The sequence below is a fragment of the Homo sapiens genome, chromosome 9 (assembly GCF_000001405.40).
Source record: "Homo sapiens chromosome 9, GRCh38.p14 Primary Assembly".
Classification (NCBI taxonomy): domain Eukaryota; kingdom Metazoa; phylum Chordata; class Mammalia; order Primates; family Hominidae; genus Homo; species Homo sapiens.
The window spans coordinates 112468975-112484075 of record NC_000009.12 but is presented as its reverse complement, the minus strand read 5'-3'; the positions used below and the strand labels follow the sequence as shown (position 1 = coordinate 112484075).

General features: G+C 41.5%; 1 protein-coding gene and 1 long non-coding RNA gene across 8 annotated transcripts in view; one reads left to right on the top strand and one right to left on the bottom strand.

Moving 5' to 3' along the window:
- Positions 1-15101, top strand: part of HSDL2-AS1 (HSDL2 antisense RNA 1) — a 35847-nt gene that overhangs the window by 3569 nt on the left and 17177 nt on the right. For 2 of the 3 annotated variants that reach the window (NR_171779.1, NR_171778.1), the window contains exon 3: positions 14239-14353. The exons of the other annotated variant lie outside the window; for it this stretch is intronic. This is a non-coding gene — a long non-coding RNA (HSDL2 antisense RNA 1). The remainder of the gene's footprint in view (positions 1-14238; positions 14354-15101) is intronic. 3 annotated transcript variants of the gene reach the window in all.
- HSDL2 (hydroxysteroid dehydrogenase like 2) overlaps positions 11671-15101 on the bottom strand; it is a 92298-nt gene continuing 88867 nt past the window's right edge. For all 5 annotated transcript variants that reach the window (NR_036651.2, NM_032303.5, NM_001195822.2 and 2 more), the window contains one exon: positions 11671-13644. Coding sequence is in view for 4 of the 5 variants with exons in the window: in NM_032303.5 (NP_115679.2) it covers positions 13532-13644 (113 nt within the window). In the remaining variant the exon portion in view is untranslated. The remainder of the gene's footprint in view (positions 13645-15101) is intronic.

The window sequence follows — 15101 nt, the reverse complement described above, 5'->3', positions numbered from 1 at the left end:
AGAGGAGAAAGAGAGAAGAAAGGAGACCTGTGAGATTATGCTTTTATTAGGTCTATAGGCATTATGCCCTTAAAAAACACATGCACAAAGGAGAGGAACTTATTTCCAAGACTCTGGTGTTAACCATTAGGTTTTTGTTTTGTTCTGTTTTGTTTTGAGACAAGGTCTCCCTCTGTTGCCTAGGCTGGAGTGCAGTGGCGTGATTTCAGCTCACTGCATCCTCTACCTCCCTGCCTCAGTCGATCCTCATGCCTCAGCCTCTTGAGTAGCTGGGACTAGAGATGTGGGCCACTACGCCCAGCTAATTTTTTTTTCTTTTTGTAGAGACAGGGGTCTCACTGTGTTACCCAGGGTGGTCTCAAACTCCTGGCCTCAAACAGTCCTCCTGCCGCACCCTCCCAAAGTGTTGGGATTACAGCCCTCAGTCAACCATTAGGTTTTTTCATGGTCAGCTGAGGGATGTGTTGCGTTTGGGAGTCTATAAGATGAACAAGTGGGCTATATCTCAACGACACTGGGAGGGGAAGTTTGTTTTGTTTTGTTTCTTGAGACAGAGTCTTGCTGTGTTGCCCGGGCTGGAGTGCAGTGGCATGATCTCAGCTCACTGCAGCCTCCTCTGCCTCCCAGATTCAAGCGATTCTCATGCCTCAGCCTCTCGAGTAGCTGGGATTACAGGCACACGCCATCCTTCCCATCTAATTTTTGTATTTTTAGTAGAGGCAAGGTTTCACCATATTTGGCCAGGCTGGTCTTGAACTCCTGAGCTCAAGTGATCCTCCCACCTTGGCCTCCCAAAGTGTGGAATTACAGGTGTGAGCCACCACACCTGGCCAGGAGGGTAAGTTTTAACAAGGCCAAAGGTGACAGCAGGGGGTTGGGTATACAACTGGGTTTCAAAAGACTTAGGCCAGGCCTAAAAATGAATGCCAGAGCAGCAACTATATTAAAAAATTTATGACACTGGTACATGCTTCAACATGGATAAACCTGGAAAAGTTTACAAAGCTATGGGAAAGGAGCCAGTCACAAAGGGTCATATATTATATGATTCCATTTATATGAAGTGTCTAGAATATACAAATCAATAGGGAAAGAAAGTAGACTAGTAGTTCCCTAGGGCTGAGAGGTTTTGGTGGAAATGTGAGGTAACTACTAAGGAGTAAAGTTTCTTTTTGGGGTGATGAAAATATTGTAAAATTGGATGATGTTTATGAAACTCTGATTATACTAACAGCTACTGAATTGTACGTTTTAATGGGTGAACTGTATGGTATGTAAGTTATTTCTCAATAAAACTGTTTCAAAAAGGAAGCATGAAATACAAATCGTAGGCCAGGCATGGTGGCTCACGCCCATCATCTCAGCACTTTGGGAGGCCAAGGTGGGAGGATTGCTTGAGCCCAGGTGTTTGGGACCAGCCTGGGCAACAAAGTGAGACCCTGTCGCTACAAAAAAAATCAAAAAATTAGCCGGGTGGGGTGGCACACATCTGTAGTCCCAGGTACTTGGAAGGCTGATGTGGGAGAATCAGTTGGTCCCAGGAGGGTCAAGGCCGCAGTAAGCTGTGTTTGTGCCACTGTACTCCAGCTTGGGTGACAGAGCAAGACTGTGTCTCAAAAAAAAAAAGGAAAAAGGAGTCCAATAGAGGGCAGAGTCTGAGGAAGGGGCACAGGTGCCATGTGCAGCAAGAAGAACCCCCTAAAACAGCCCAAGAAGCAGGCCAAGGAGACGGATGAGGAAGATAAGACTTTCAAGCAGAAGCAAAAAGAGGCATTAAAACAAAATGATACGTTAGAACATTTCTCCCAACAATTGCAGAATACAAGCTCCTTTCTTTCATTATTTTTATTTATTTATTTTGAGACAGTCTCACTCTGTCACCCAGGCTAGAGTAAAGTGGATCATAGCACACTGCAGCCTTGACCTCCACATTTAAGCGATCTTCCCACATCAGCCTCCTGAGTAGCAGGGACTACAGGTGGGTGCCGTCATACCCAGCTAATTTTTCTTTTCTTTCTTTTTTTGTTTTTCTGAGGTGGAGTCTCACTCTGTCGCCAGGCTGGAGTGCAGTGGTGCAATCTCAGCTCACTGCAACCTCCGCCTCCCGGGTTCAAGCGATTCTCCTGCCTCAGCCTCCCAAGTAGCTGAGACTATAGGCATGCGGCATGACGCCCAGCTGATTTTTGTATTTTTAGTAAAGACGGGGTTTCATCATGTTGGCCAGGATGGTCTCGATCTCTTGACCTTGTGATCCACCTGCCTTGGCCTCCAAAAGTGCTGGGATTACAGGTGTGAGCCACCGCGCCCGGCCATACCCCGCTGATTTTTAATTTTTTTTTTTTTTTTTTTGTAGAGATGTGGTCTCACTATATTGCTCAGGCTGGTCTTGAACTCCTGGGCTCAAGTGATTCTCTCACCTTGGCCTCCCAAAGTGTTGGGATTACAGGCGTGAGCCACCATGCCCAGCCTAGATGTTCCTTTTAAGTGCATATATAATGTTCACTAAAAAAGGCCATATAATTAGCTATAAAACAAGTCTCAAAAAATTTAAAATGATTGAAGTCACAGAGTATATTTTTCTAACCCACTGTAAAGCTAAATTTGAAATCAATTATAGATCAATATCTGGAAACTCTGAATATTTGAAAATTAAACATGTTTCTATAGTCCTCATTGATTAAAGAAGAACTCAGAAGGAAAGTAGGAAAATCTCTCGAAGAATGAAAAATTACACAATGTATCAAATGTTTGTGGGAAAATGCTAAGGCAGTTCTAAAAGTGAAATTTATGGCTTAAAAGTTTGTATCATAAGAAAAAGAGGGCCCAAGAGAATGAACTAAGTTTTAATCTTCAGAAGCTACAAGAAAGGACATATTAAACACAAAGTAGAAGAAAACAAATAATGAAGATAGTAGAAATCAAGTAAAACAGAAAACAGACCCTCCCCCAGCCGCCCAAAAAAAAAATAAGTAAGAAAATAAAGGAAAACATAAAGTATTTTGTAAAAAATCATTGCCAGGCATGTGGTTCATACCTGTAATCTCAGTGCTTTGGGAGGCCAAGGTGTGTGAATCGCTTGAGCCCAGGAGTTGGAGACCATCCTGGGCAACATAGTGAGACCTCGCCTCTACTAAATAAAAATATTAGCCAAGCATGGTGGTGTGTGCTGGTGGTCCTAGGTCATCGAGAGGTTGAGGTGGGAGGAAATCGAGACCATCCTGGCTAACACGGTGAAACCCCGTCTCTACTAAAAATACAAAAAATTAGCTAGGTGTGGTGGTGGGCGCCTGTAGGCCCAGCTACTCGGGAAGCTGAGGCAGGAGAATGGCGTGAACCCGGGAGGTGGAGCTTGCAGTGAGGTGAGGTCGAGCCACTGCACTCCAGCCTGGGTGACAGAGCGAGACTCCATCTCAAAAACAAACAAACAAACAAACAAATAAACAACAAAAACTACAGCCCCAATATGGCAAATGGACACAAATACAAAATTGAATCCACCAATATATAAGTAATACAATATGACTAAATGGGATTTTTCCTAGAAATATAAAGTTAACTTTTCACTCAAAAATCAATCATTGCATTGTTTCTTCTTATGTAAAATAATAATAATAATTTTTTTTTTTTGAGACGGAGTCTCGCTCTGTTACCCAGGCTGGAGTGCAGTGGCACAATCTCGGCTCACTGCAACCTCTGCCTCCCAGGTTCAGGCGATTCCCCTGCCTCAGCCTCCTGAATAGCTGGGATTACAGGCTCGTGCCACCATGCCTGGCTAATTTTTTGTATTTTTAGTAGAGATGGGGTTTCACTGTATTAGCCAGGATGGTGTCAATCTCCTGACCTCGTGATCCGCCCGCCTCGGCCTCCCAAAATGCTGGGATTACAGGCGTGAGCCACAGTGCCCGGTCAGTAATTATTATAGTATTTGGTTTGTCAAGAATCTTTACCATCTTTATATTGACTTAAACATCTCAGAATTTAGAAACAATTGCCTGGAAAAGAATATCATAAGGAGGATAAAAAGTCTAAAATAAGAGATTTGTGTGCTGTAAAGTTTAAAATCTCGTCCCATGTTGGCCGGGCACGGTGGCTCATACCTGTAATCCCAGCACTTTGGGAGGCCAAGGTGGGTGGATCACGAGGTCAGGAGTTCAAGACCAGCCTGGCCAAGATGGTGAAACCCCGTCTGTACTAAAAATACAAAAATTAGCTGGGCGTGGAAGCGGATGCCTGTAATCCCAGCTACTCGGGAGGCTGAGGCAGGAGAATGGCTTGAACCCGGGTGGTGGCGGTTGCAGTGAGTGGATATCGTGCCACTGTACTCCAGCCTTGGCAACAGAGGGAGACTTCCATCTCAAAAAAAAAAAAAAAAAAAAAAAGAAATCTGATCGCATGTCGTAGTATGCTCAGGCTACTGTAACAAAATATAATAAATTGAGTGGATTATGAACAACAGAAATTGATTTCCACAGTTCTGGGAGCTAGGATTCCAAGATTGGTGTACAGGCAGATTTGGTGTCTGGTGGAGGCCCACTTCTTCATAGAAGACCATCTTTTCCCTGTAATCTCCAGTGGCAGAAAGAGCAAGGGAGCTTTCCTGGGCCTCTTTTATAAGGGCACCATTCCATTCATGAGGTCATATTACCTATTTATATCTGCATGACCTAATCATCTCCTAGAGGCTGCACCTTCTAATACCATCACCTTGGGATTAGGATTTCAACATATAAACTTTAGGGGAACACAGACATTCAGACCATAGCATCCTACTAGTTATATACCATTATGTTGACTAGATACAGGTATTTGGTTTCAGTTTAAAGAATTCCCTTAAGCAATTCCTGCAAGGCAGGCCTAATGGTGATAAACTCCCTTAGCTTTTGTTTTTCTGGGAAGGTTTTTATTTCTCCCCCATTTCTGAAAGACAGCTTTGCTGCATAAAGTATTATTTTTTGGCAGGTTTTTTCCTTCACCACTTTGAATGTCATCCCACTGGCCTGCAGGATTTCTGAAAATTTCTGAAAACTTTGCTGGTAGTTACATTAGCACCCCTTTGTATGTGGTATGTTTCTTATCTCTTGCTGCTCTCAAAATTTTCTGTCTTTGATTTTTGGTAGTTTGATTATTATGTGTCTTGATATACTCCTCTTTGGGTTGTATTCCTCTTTGATTGGAAAACTCTGTACTTCCTATACTGCTTGTTGGTGTCTATCCCCAGTTTAAGGAAGTTTCATTTATTATTTATTTATTTATTTTTATTATTATTATTATTTTTTGAGATGGAGTTTTCATTCTTGTTGCCCAGACTGGAATGCAATGGCACAGTCTCAGCTCACCACAACCTCCGCCTCCCGAGTTCAAGCAATTCTCCTGCCCCAACCTCCCGAGTAGCTGGGATTACAGGCATGCACCACCATGCCCGGCTAATTTTGTATTTTCAGTAGAGATAGGGTTTCTCCATGTTGGTCAGGCTGGTCTGAAACTCCTTACCTCAAGTGATCTACCTACCTCAGCCTCCCAAAGTGCTGGGATTACAGGCGTGAGCCACCGTGTCTGGCCTGTTATTTCTTTAAATATGCTTTCTGGCTCTTTGACTCTTTCTAAAATTTCTGTTGAGCAAAGGTTTAGTCTCTGGATGGTGTCCCAAAATTCCTACAGGCTTTCTTCATTCTTTTTTATTCTTTTGTCTTCTTGCTTCTCCGACTGGATAATTTCAAATGTTCTGTTTCCAGCTCACTGATCTATTCTTCTGCTTGATCGAGTCTGCTATCGAAGCCTTCTACTTAATTTTTCCATTCAGTCATTGTATTCTTCATCTCTAGAATTTTCTTTTTTATTGTCTCTATTTCTTTCTCAAATTTCTTGTGTATTGTTTTCCAAATCTCATTAAATTTTCTATCCATATATTCTTATAGTTTACTGAACTTCTTTATTATTCTGAATTCTTTGTCATTTCCTAGATCTCCATTTCTTTGGGGCCCATTATTGAAGCTTTATTATTGTCTTTTGGAAGTGATTCACTGATTCTTTGCAATCTTTGTGTCCTTGCATTGTTGTCTGAGCATTTAAGACCACCCCTGGCCGGGCATGGTGGCTTACGCCTGTAATCCCAGCACTTTGGGAGGCCAAGGCAGGCAGATCACGAGGTCAGGAGATCGAGACCGTCCTGGCTAACATGGTGAAATCCCATCTCTACTAAAAATACAAAAAATTAGCCAGGCGTGGTGGTGGGCACCTGTAGTCCCATCTACTCGGGAGGCTGAGGCAGGAGAATGGCGTGAACCTGGGAGGTGGAGCTTGCAGTGAGCCGAGATTGTGCCACTGCACTCCAGCCTGGGCAACAGAGAGAGACTCCATCTCAAAAAAAAAAAAAAAAAGAAGAAGAAGACCGCCCCCTCTTCTGGCTTTTGCAGGTGTTCTTTGGCAGGAATAGACCTTCTCTATTTAGCCTCTGATTCTGGAAGGGCCAGCTCCCAGATAAGCTGGAATGACCCCAGACAGGCAGAGCTTGTTGTGATTTCTCTAGTTGACTGGGCTACTGCCTTTGCTCTGATATTGTGTAGAGCTGCTGGCTGGGTACTGTGATGGCTTTTGGTCAGGTTAGTCACAGGATATATTCCCTAGCCAAGCAATTCTGATATTTGGGATCTGCAGTTAGGCAAGGCTGCGGGCTGGGGTTGGAAGTTAGGTGGAGTCATTGCTTGGGACAAGTGGAATCATAAGCTATGCTCCTTAGAATTGCACAGTTGAGGCTGGGCGCGGTGGCTCACGCCTGTAATCCCAGCACTTTGGGAGGCCAAGGCGTGGGTGGGTCACAAGGTCAGGAGTTCGAGACCAGCCTGGCCAACATGGAGAAACCCTGTCTCTACTAAAAATACAAAAATTAGCTGGGCGTGATGGCAGTCTCCTGTAATCCCAGCTGCTCGGGAGGCTGGGGCAGGAGAATTGCTTGAACCCGGGAGGCAGAGGTTGCAGTGAGGTGAGACCGTGTCATTTCACTCCAGCCTGGGTGACAAGAGCGAAATTCCATCTCAAAAAAAAAAAAAAAGCACAATTGAGGATTGCCTCCCTGTCAGGGTGGAACTGTGGGGTAGGCTTTTAGCTGAGTTGAGTGGTTGTTTGACCTCTCAGGTCAAGCCAGTCTGGCCCCTTTGCATTTCTTAAACGTTCGGAGGTGGGAGTCTTCCTGCCTAGGTAGATTGTTAGCTGGGATTTTTGGCTGAGGGCTGAGTAGATCTTCATTTGACTTCCTGGGTCAAGCTGGTCTAGCTCCTTCTCTCAGTGCATGGAGGCAGGAGTTTCCTTGCTTGAGTAGGATTGTTGGGGTGGGCTCCGAGGCTGGGCACAGAGACTAGCTATCTAGGGACTCAAGCTAGCTTGAAATTCCCACCATGCTTCTGAAGGTGACCAGCTCAGCTTTGTGGGTGGGCTTTGAGACTGGCTGGTATCTCTAATCTGGTGCCACAGCTGGCAGAAACGTAGAGGTATTACCAAGATCCATGTGCTGGTTACTATGACCTCTGCCTCCTCTCATTGTTTCTACCTGGCCCTGAGTCGTGTAGTGGTGCCATTTCCCCAAGGGTAGGTAGGGGAAACCACAGTGGGCTGCCTGGGAAACATCTCAGAATGCTAGGGAAGCTAGATGACTATTTCAATTTCTGTTTTCCCCTAGTAGAAACTGTGGGCCAGGAGAATCTTTTCTGTCTGGCATTGTGCTGACTTGGAGGGAAAGGGGTGCCACAGTTGGAATAAGACCATTCTTCCTTGGGCAACATAGTGAGACACAGTCTATTAAAAAGCGGGGGGGGGGGGGGGCGGGGGGGAGACTGTCCTCCTTATCCTTCTAATTCAGATTTCATTCCGTTCTGTGGACCATGTGTGTCTCAAACTTGTTTCCAAGTATTGGGGTTTACAAAAGGATTTTCTGGCCTGTGGATAGTTTCTAGTTGAACTTTTCTGTTGGCTGGGAGTGAAGCCTGATACTTCCTAAACTGCCATCATTCCCCTAGATACAGCTATTTGTCTCTATTTAAGTACATTTGGCTTCAACAAACATGGGTTGGGGAAAACAGCACAATAAATATTTTTAACTTAAAAAATAATTTTAGACTAGGCAAAGTGGTTCACACCTGTCATTCCAGCACTTTGAGAGGCCAAAGCAGGAGGATTGCTGGAGACCAAGAGTTTGAGACCAGCCTGGGTAACAGCAAGAGCCCATCTCTAAAAAAAGTAAAAGTAATTTTAAAAAATCATTTTAATTGACCATATTAATAGAATAAAGGAGAATAACCTAATCATCTCAATAGATAATAGAAATAGCATTTGACAAAATTCAGCAATCATATATGATTAAGAATACTCAGCAGATAAACAACAATCAGCCTGATAATGTGCATCTACAAAAAAACCGCCCTACAACTATCATAGTTAATGGTGAAAAAACACAGTGTTTTCCCCCTAAGACTAAGAACAAGGCTAGGATATCCATTTTCACCACCAATATTCACCACTATACTGTGGGTCTAACAGTGCAATATGACAAGAAAAAAAAAATAAGGCACACAGAGTGGAAAAGAAGAAATAAAACTGCCTTTATTTGCAGATAACAATCACATACATAGAAAATCCTAAGGGATTTACAAAAAAAGCTGCTAAAACTAATAAGGAGATTTAACAGTATTGCAGGACACAAAGCATTTCTGTATCCTAACAAAGAATAATTAAAAACTGGAATTTAAAAAATTATTTAGGCTGGGCATGGTGGCTCACACCTATAATCCCAGCACTTTGGGAGGCTGAGGTGGGAGGATTGCGTGAAGCCAGGAGTTTGAGACCAGCCTGGGCAACAAAGTGAGACCTTGTCCACACAAAAAACAAACAAAGCCAGGCATGGTGGTATGTGCCTGTAATCCCAGCTACTTGGAAAGCTGAGGCAGGAGCCCAGGAAAGCTGAGACTTGGAAAGCTAAGACCTTGAGCCCAGGAATTCAAGGCTGCAGTGAGCTATGAGCATGCCACTGCACTCTAGAATGAGTGGCAGAAAAAATAAAACATCTATGCACTGAGGTATACTATGATAGCATTACATGACTGTTTTGGGAAAAAACTCTAAACCATTTTTCCTCTGCTCTCATACTAACATAACAACAATCATCAACACATAAGAAGACTTCTGTGACCAAATGTGTGAGAGTTTTTCCCACACGCTAAGCAGTGGACACCAAGTAGGTGTCCTCCAGTTTTATTCTGACACTATCTACTTGGAGATAGTGGGTCTCACCATGTTGCCCACTATCTACTGTCTCCAGGTAGATAGTGTTAGATGCCACAGGTCGAGGGGCTCAGTCCCCAAAACTGCCCCACCTCCCAGACACCAGTTGTAACTCTGGGTGTCTGGAAATTCTGACCAACTGGCTTCAAGTTGGGGTTCCCACAACCTCCACTTGGGGTTTGATTAATTTGCTGGTGCAGCTCACAGAACTCAGGGAAACACGTTTACCAGTTTATTGCAAAGAAAATCATAAAGGATAACATATGAAGAGATGCATAGGGCACAGTATTGGGGAAGGGGCACAGAGCTCTCCAGTCCTCCCGGGGTGTGTCACCCTCCAGGACCCTCCATGTGTTCAGCTATCCAGAAGCTCTTGGAACCCAGTCCTCTTGGGTTTTTATGGATGCTTCATTAAGTTGGCATTCTTTCCCCCAGCATATGGAGCAGGACCCTCTCTGGAATAAGGGTTTATATGACCCACAGTTCTGCCTTGCGGAAGTGAAAGGAAGGCAAGAGAAGGTCAGAGAGATTCTGTTTCCTGAGGCCTGCCTGCAAGGCCTAACACCCAACATTGTAACAAAAGCTTGTAACAAGGGCTATGGGAATTACAAGCCAGGAAACCTGGACAAAAATAGATAGATAGATAGATAGATAGATAGATAGATAGATAGATAAAGATAGATGATGATAAGATAGATGATGATAGATAGATAGATAGATAGATAGGTAGATAGATAGCAAACACAGTGACCCAACCTCATGGCGTTTCACTCAGACTTTTATCTTGACTCTGAGAGACTCAAGATTCAACTTAAAAATGGCATCCTTAATTCTTTTTTTTTATTTTTAAGACAGCATCTCACTCTGTTGTCCAGGCTGGAGTGCAGTGGCGCAGTCTCAGCTCAATGCAACCTCCACCTCCTGGGCTCAAACAATTCTCGCACCTCAGCCTCCTGGGTAGCTGGATTAAAGGCCACACTGCCACACCCATCTAATTTTTGTATTTTTAGTAGAGACGGGGTTTCACCATGTTGGCTAGGCTGGTCTCAAACTCCTGGCCTCCGACCTCAGCCTCCCAAAGTGCTGGGATTACAGGTGTGAGCCACCTCGCCTGGCCAGCATCCTTAAATTTTTAAAGAACTGTGTATTTCACCTTCTGGCTATGTTTACCTTTTACATGTGTTAGGGCCTAGAAGCTGCAAATACTTACAAAAATGGTGAAATCTTACTAAAGATAAATTAGAATTATGATGACCATTATGTGGAACATTCCAGATGAATAAGACTGTTCATCTAAGAATTGAGTTTAAAAATGAGGGCTTCTGAATCAGGCCCTCCTAGGGATACCTATTGATGTGCAAAAGCTTCTAAAAAGATTTCAAAAATGTTTGTCTCTTTAAAAGAGCTCATGTAGAAGGCAAATGAAAAGTTTAAGCAACTAGTTTATAAGAAAATTGAATCTGCCAATCTTTTCACTTAGTTACTGTTTTACTCCAAAGGGAAAAAGAAAGCTAGGTAATATTTATAAAAATTAGGCCCTTGGGTGAAGCAGATTTGCATTTTCAGAACTATCCATCTGCATCCAGAAATAGGAAACCCTTTGTCTGCTCTATTTGCTAATGGGCTCTGCCCTGAACTCAGTAATCTAGTTAAGAAACAGAAGCTAAGTTGAAAAGACCGCCTATTGAATTAAATCAGTCTCCAAAATTTGCGTTTCTGGTATTTAGCCAGTTATTTTGAAACTCTTTGTAAAAACGTGTATCTATAAAGGAAAATCAGTAGAAATTCTTACAATAGGTGAGAGCATTAGTCCAAATAAACTCACCTTCAACCATTTTGTCTGAACTGGGCTTCTTAGCATCAACTTTCTGTCTTGGCAAATAACAATATTTAGGCCTGAAATGTAAGTTCTCTGCCTTTGAGATGTAAATTTTCTACCTTGTGTTACCTAGGAACCATCCCTTTCAAAATGCAATTCAGGGTAGAAAATTTTTAAATGGTTATTTTAAAAAGGGATGAATAGTGGACTGTGATGGGTTTAAAACAAAGATTTAATCTACTAATGATTGGATGGATCAGAGGAACTCATTGCTGGTCCCCTAACATTACAAAGCTCAAAACCAGTCAGCTCAATTTACTCCAATCTGGAAAAATTTTTAAAGCCAGAAGGCAGAGATTCCAATGGGCAACCTAACTAACAATCACTTAGGGCAATAATCAAGCAGGTCAGTCCAGAAAAGGGCAAGGTCCCTTGACTCAATCCCCCTGTTGGGATAGGTATAATTAGCAAATTCATATTTTAATGACCAGAACCCAGAGATTGCTGCCTCACGGTATGTTCTACCTCTAATTTTCCCAAACCTTTAAGAATGTCAAAGAATAAAATCTCAACAAATTATGTAAAGATCTAATTGGCTTTTATTAGCGATTCATGAACTGGGTAGCATCCAGCCTACAAAATAAAACAGAAGCCCCGCCAGGTATGATAGAATGGTCTGCATTTGTAAAGCAGCACTAGCAGGAACAAGGAAACAGCATAGTAGACACAGCAGATTGGTTAACATCAGGTTACTTCAGGTTACGTTCCTTGTGTGGATTAAAGCAGAGGGGGCTTCCTCATCATAATCACGCTTGCTCACGTTGACTGGACTCCCTTTGATCAGTTGCTGTGAATCTCCTGACTTGTTGAAACTGTCCTATTTTTAAGTTCACTTTGATTACATGGACTCCATTCCTGGATGGAGAGGTGAGATCTTGGAGTTCCATTCAACATAAATGTATTGTAAAGTTTTTGTTAGAGGGCTTGTTAATGTTGGCCTTGGGCTAGTCCTTTCCCATCTCTGATCCTCTGCTTCCTAACTTGTAAAATACAGATTAAATGCTCCTAACATTATGAATCTAAGAAATGTCAGGATTAGCTAAATTGCTTAATGGCACAACAATATTAGAGTGGAAGCTGAGAAGCAAAATTGTTACACTGAGCAAGTATTTTTAACTGATTGAAATGAAAGATAAGAGCTTTTTAAAAGTTTATCTTCCCCTCAACCCTCCCAGCCTCTCAAACCACTGTATTAGCTTGCTAGGGCTGCCATAATAAAATACCACAGATTGGGGGGCTTTTTAAATTAATTTATTAGGGGGGTAGAGATAGGGTCTTACTATGTTGTCCAGGCTGGCCTTGAACTCCTGGCCTCAAGCAATCCTCCTGCGTCGGCCTCCCACAGTGGACGGCTTAACAACAGAAATTTATTTCTCACTATTCTGGAGATTAGAAGTCAAAGATCAAGGTGCTGGTGATTTTGTTTCTTCTGAAGCCTCTCTCTTTGCTTGCAGATAACTGCCTTCTCACTGTGTCCTCTCCTGGTCTTTGTTCTGTGCACACATTGCTGGTATCTCTTATGTCCAAAGGACACCATGTTGGATTAGACTAACAGCCTCCTTTGAACTTAAGTCACCTCTTTAAAGGCCTCATCTCCGAACAGTCACATTCAAAAGAAATGGGAGTTAGGACCTCAACAAATGAATTGGGGGATACACAGTTCAGCCCATACCAATGACCTATTCTAAGGTTTCTGTTTCAAAACACTGTAGCCAAATGCATACTCCTAGGGAGAAAATTATTTTGTTTTAGGACAATTTAAACATATTTTTAAATGGAATACATGCAGCAATTTGTTAAATTACATTAGTAATATTTTCCTATGGCTAAGTCCACCTGGAAAGCTAGTTATCAAAATGAAAAATTATTGTTTCATTTAGTCCTCGCCAGTACTAATTCATTTTTTATAATTTTTGTAAAATGTACTATATAAGATTTTCTTTAAAATAAGTATATAAAAATCAAAAACATCATTAAGATTTTCATTAGTATACAATCCAAAACTAAAAATTTTAAAACAGACTAGCTTCATTTTACATGACAAGAAGATTTGAAAGAGCTAATTTTACTGCTTGATCTGACTGTCCGCCCAAAATACTTTTCTTGGAGAAAGACAGTGAATGAGATGTAAGGCTCAAAGGGTTAAACCCTTGAAATATAAAAACACAGACTGTCTTAGAATCCCACTTAATGAAGCTTATGTTTGATTAGCTTGCCATTTTAATTACAATTTCAAGTCTTTTAGAGACAAATTCTATCTTTTCCAGAACAAACGTGCATATCCTTATAATATAACAGGAAAGAAAACAAACATTAGATTTTAACTGTTGAGCTTTTTTTACTTTTTGAGCATAGCAGTCGACTTTTTTTTTATATTTTCCTTCACAGTCTGGCATTCATCTGATTCATTAGCTTCTCCAATTTGATTGCTAGGGCCATGTTACCTTTAATCTTCAATTTCCCTGACATGAATGCCATTGTTGGTTTTAGTTTCCCTAAAATGAGAAAATGAGAGAGGGAAAAGCAACCATTAGTGCCCTTAGGGATATATTGCTTTAAGAACACGCATTGTAAAAAGAATCTCCTTGAGTTCTATAAACCTCAGAAGCATAGAAATTTCTGTTACAGCATTTTATATCAGTATCTTGGGAATCCCAATTCCTAGACTTAGATGTTAACAATATCCTATTAAGAGCTAGCATAAAAACAACAATCAGCAAAAGATTATAGCAAATGTTTTTACACCAAAAAGATTTTTATACACTAAAGGATACACGGCCCTCAAATGAATTCTGGTAAACAAATACTGTCTATTTTAGTTAATTTTCCAACTTACGATAGTTCATTAAACTTTTGACATTTCAAGTTCAAAAAACCAAATGGTGTAAATGAACAAAATAGTCTTAAGAAATGATCATTAAAAGTATAGTGTATGGACACAAAATATGTGTTAGCATTACTTTAACCACAGAAATGCCAGGGTATAAAAAAATGTAAGCATTAAAATAGAATTGTACCTAATAACAACATGTAATAAATATGAGCTCCATGGAGAGAAGTACATTTGTTATCTGCTACTCTTATTCCAGTGTCAGTACGGGGTCTATCACATAGTGGAATTAATGAGGAAACAGACTCAAAAAGGATTTTGGCTTGCTCAAGGTCACACAGCTTGTATGAGGCAGTGCTGCAATTTAAAGCCAGGTATGTCTGCCTTTCATTTATGACTTTTTTTCCTTTTTTTTTTTTTTTTTTTTTTTGAGACAAGGTCTCACTCTGTCTCCCAGGCTGGAGTACATGTACAGTGGAGTACATGGCTTACTGCAGCCTTGACTTCCCAGGCTCATCTGAACCTCCCACCTCAGCCTCCTGAGTAGCTGGACTACAGGCAAGCAACACCATGCAGGGCTAATTTTTTATAGAGATGGGGTTTTGCCATGTTGCCCAGGCTGGTCTCAAGTGATCCACCTGCCTCCCAGAGTGCTGAGATTACAGATGTGAGCCATCTGGCCCAGCCTCATTTATGATTTTCTGTCTTACATTATGCTAATTGATATAGATGACATATCTTCTAGAAGGCACAATATGTGTTTGGTTTATTAGTAGCTTAGTAGCCACCCTCCCCACCCCTGTGCCCCACACAGGTTCTTTGCAGAGAAAGTGTGTGAGTTAATATATTATATATATATTATATTAAGCTATTAAATGCCTTTAAATTATTCTAAATAGAGGTTATAGCAAAGCCTCATGGAGTTATTATAGGTAGAAAGGATCAAGTCCAACTCTTTTATTTTAATGAATAAACTGAGCTGTGTCCTACTTTAAGACAGTGTGATGTTAAAATCCCAATACTTACAAATAATAAATGAAGGGGTAACTTTTATTTACATGGAGGATACTGAAAGATCTTTATTCTGGAAGGAACAGAACAGCCCGTCCAAAAACACAGATA